This window comes from Homo sapiens, chromosome 1 (genome assembly GCF_000001405.40).
Source record: "Homo sapiens chromosome 1, GRCh38.p14 Primary Assembly".
Classification (NCBI taxonomy): domain Eukaryota; kingdom Metazoa; phylum Chordata; class Mammalia; order Primates; family Hominidae; genus Homo; species Homo sapiens.
In genome coordinates this window covers 195,121,864-195,126,514 of record NC_000001.11, presented here as the reverse complement: position 1 = coordinate 195,126,514, position 4,651 = coordinate 195,121,864, and positions in this window count along the sequence as shown.

Genomic DNA, 4,651 nt, shown 5'->3' with positions numbered 1-4,651 from the left:
CTCATGAATTTAAATTCACATTTCCAATCATGTTCAGAGAATCAGAGGTTTTCTATACTTCCTTGAAATAAGTTCTTGGCTCTTTTAAGACACAATACAAATATTTCAGAAAATTAGACACAATGTATGAGTTTAAAGCTTGCTGAATTGCAAATAACAGCCTTCCCTGTCCTTAATTATAATTAACAAGTTAAGGTATTTATAAAAGTGGGACCACATGGGGGATTCTAATGGGTCTATGTGCCTTAAACCCTACTTCCCTCTAAACTTCCTCAGTTGGAGAAGTAGTCTCTCCTTTCCATTCTCAGGTTAGTTTCCCTGCTGACATATCTTTAACAATCTCCCTTTGGCAATTGTCTTATAAACATTTCTCCTCACAACCTACCTCAGTCACCTCTCATTGCTACATCACTAATAATTAAATTTAAATCCAAGTAGATCTCATTGGGGGTGAGTGGAGATGCAGCTACAAAGTCTGTATTGGGATGTAGCATACAAACTGAAAATCTGGTATGAGTTTACAAAATTATGCTGTCAGAATCATGGGAATACATGCAGGGATATAGTATGTCAGATCAGGAACAAAAAGGAGCATAACATTGAATCAGGATGAATTTATCCAAATGGGTTGACTTACATAGAAATTCTGGACTGTAGATTCATTATGTTATCTTGATAACTAGAAATGAAGAATAAGTTTGGTTTAACTTAAGCACAGATTCATACATGGCCTATATTAAATGGGTTTGAAGTAGCACAGCTCCATGTAATATATGGGAAGGAATCACAAAGCTTATGGAGATAGGACTATCCATGTGCCTGCAAACTGCTTAACATCCAAAAAAGCATTTTACGTGGATTGACCAAAAAAATATTCCTTCAAAAGGCATTAGGAAATGCATTGAGGATATGGCACGGTGTGGGGATAATATCTTTGAGAAGTTTTGCAATGTCTCCCCACTACTAGCAGAATATAATTGTGAGAGATGCCACTGTTCAAATGGGTTTCCCGATTTCAGTGACATAAATTTCTGAAGTGACAAAAGGCAAGCTGCATATCTTTGGCACTGGAGACAACGTAGGCAAGCTTACTAGAATGAAAAGAAGGTTGATTTAGTAAGCAGAATGTTTTAACCTGCAAATGTTTTTGTCAGTGGCTAATGGATCATGATATGCTGAAGACTGAAACAGATGGAGTGCCCCAAAATTCTCCTTTAATTGTGCAGATGAAAATTCCTAGAACTGAGAATCGGTGACCGATTTGAATAGCTTCAATCGAGAAAAATTTCCTGACTTGAAACAGTCATAGACTAGTTGAATGAACAGGAAGTCATGTCTCATTGAGAAAGGATGCTATAAACCACCACAGCAATATGTCTTCTCCTTGTCTTCTCAAAAGAGATCAGAGGTCATTTAACCGAAATGGCATTATCAAGACTTCTAGAGGTCTTTTTGGCCTTAGTTTATACATATACATTTCCTTGGCTATTAAAACAACACTGTGCTACTTGAACAGAGAAAGGTGCTAATTAAAGGCAGTAATTACAAATGCAGTTCTGACTTAGATTTTAAGTGAACTTTCTATTTTCAGGATTTGAATCTTCATATTGGTTCCCTGACCTAGAAAGACTGTGTCTGAAAATGTCCCAGGATTCACTCCCATTATTAATACTTGTGAGAAACTGGTACATGTGTATTTCCCTCTGGCATAACACTAACCCCTTAAATATTCTGAGTAATTTTGAGCATGCCATAATAAACACTAGAAATTGAAAGGATATACGCATGAGGAATCTAACTTATCTTAAGCATTATTTGATTTTTGTAATTATTCATACACTTCAGAAAATTTTTTCCAGAAAATGCCACATACTTATGTTTAAATACAAACTCACGTTTGGATACCCTTTCTCTTTTACTAAAATATGATATAAAAATGAGTCTTATTTCTCCAATTGTAGGAATAATAATTATAATTCCCCAAACAATATTTTCCAAAAGTATCATGATCTAGTTTTACTGAGGAGAATTGTCAAGAAGACAAATATTATGGTTGACACCAAATAAAATATATGCACATAATAAAGTATAGATTTACTTAAAAATAACAATAGACAAAATTCTCTCCAAGTTCCTAGTGCACACAGTACAATAAATAAATATTTTGAACTATATTATTTAAGAAACAAGTTCAAGACAGTTCCCATAGACTTATTCTGCTGTATTTATTTCAGAGTCATCAATATTTACACAAACATAAAGCTATATTAAACAAAAATAGGTATTTTGGGAATTGTTATGATTTAAAATATTTCTTTATTTTGATATGTTATACAACATAGTTTTATACTTAAAAAGATGCATAATAAAAAGAATTGCAGCAATTAATGAGTTCACCTACCTAATCCATGTACTTGCAACACTTCGAGCATGGATGTATTGATTCCTTTTTCAAAAATCACATCAAGGGCAAATAAGAAAATGATGTAATAGCCATAAACTCTTTTTTGGTGTAATCAGAGTATACTTGTTTCATACCTGGACGGTCATAAACACAGATTGAGATATATTTTCAGAAAAGTATTATATTTTCAATGGATTTATAACAAAATACAAGGCATTGATATTTGTCAAGAGTAAGATAATCTTAGTGTGGCAGTCTATGAAATATATTATAAAGACTATGTCTCTGATCTCTAGTCACACAGTACATATAGCTTTCACAATATAATAAAATATATATGAATATTCAGAAAAGTAATGCCGTCTCAAGACAGGATTTGGAAAATAATACCTAAACCCCAGGTCTTACACTTACATTTTTCTGTAATATAGCTGGTGAATTATTGACTATAGGGACTATAATTTTAATACTTCAAGCAGCTAAAATTGCAGCAAGCATTGAAACAGTGCTGGAAAATAAATAATATACTTTATCGAAGGAAACTGCTAAGCCATTGTAACTCAACCAGTATTTTAAGCTAGCCATCCCAATCTTTCTTTCTATTAATTTCTTCTGTCTTAACAAATGTGATCTTAAAGTAGACTAACTACTGACTTTAAGGAATAAAGCACTTACTCTGTTTTATCTGCATATTTGTTTATATCTATATATCATAAATATACAGTTAATCAGTGGGGTAACATTTTCCAGAAAATAGCTCCATTTAAGTATGATGAGTTCTTTAGAATACAGACTTTTGCTATAGTATCAAAGAGGTGTTTAAAAGGATGTAGAGAAATCGCAACTCTTGTGCACAGTGGAGAAATCGCAACTCTTGTGCACAGTTGATGGGAATATAAAACAGTGCAGCCAATGTGGAAAGCAGTTTAGAGGTTCGTCAAAAATTGAAAGTAGACCTACCATATGATCCATCAATCCTACTTCTGGCTCTTTATCCAAAATAATTGAATCTGGATTTCAAAGAGATATTTTCACTCCCACATTTATTGCAGCACTAATCATAATAGCCAAGATATAGAAATACCTGGTCCATTGATGCATGAGTGGAAAATGAAAAAATACTGTACACATTCAATGAAATATTATTCAGCCTTTAAAAAAGAAATTCTTGAGTTTCATGGACGAAAATTAAGAACATTATGACAGACGAGGCAGTTAGGGCTGGGTAGGCAGATAGAGAGGGAGCGTCTTGGAAGAAGGACAGAGAAAGGCGATGTTCAAGGGAACAACCATGGGACAACACCTGCACCACCTCTACAGCTATTGGGAATAAATGTGGTTAAGAACTTCCCCTTGAGTCAGGATGTCTGCTGAGAAGGGATAGTCCCAGCCTAATAAATTCTACTCATTCTCTTTTGTCTCTGTGCCTCATTCTTCTTGGTCATGTGACAAGAACTCAAACCTAGCTGAACCAGGGACTAAGCAGATTGCAACAATTATGCTAAACAAAATAAGCCAGTCACATTCACATGATTTCATTTAACTGAGATATCTAAAATAGTCAAGCACATAGAAGCAGAGAGTAGAATGGTAGGTGCCAGGCACTTTGGGGAGAGGGAAATAGGGAATTGCTGCTCAGCAATGAGTTGAAAGCTTGCTGAATTACAAATCAAAGCCTTCCCAGTCCTATAATTAAAATTAAAAAGTTATTTATAAAAATGGAACCACATGGGGGATTCTAAAATTTCATAAACTTTCATTTGTGCAAATGAATAAGTTTTAGAGATCTGTACAATAGTGTGCCTATAGTTAAGAAGACTGTATTATACATTCACACATTTATTTAGAGGATAGATCTATATGTCAAGTGTCAAATGTTTGCACCACAAGTTAAAAAAAAGTGTACCTCTTTATCTCTGTCTTCTGACCATTTCAGATATTGTCAGATTAAGAAGTAATAAAAGTTATATAGTTTTAAAAACACATAGTAATAGTAAGATTCAGAGAGCAATTTCTATGAAAGAAATGAGCAGGCAAAGATTACTTATTAATAATGAATAATGCTCATACTGTAAGGAAAAAAGAGTAAAATTGTTTTAGAAAATTGGAAATATTTATTGGACTAGTTACAATTTGTTATTTTTATTATTGAAAATAAATATAACTACATAATTTATTTTCTATCCAAGTTGCAAGTTTCAAAAAAATCTTACCTTTTGATATATGTTTAAATCATTTTATCAAACA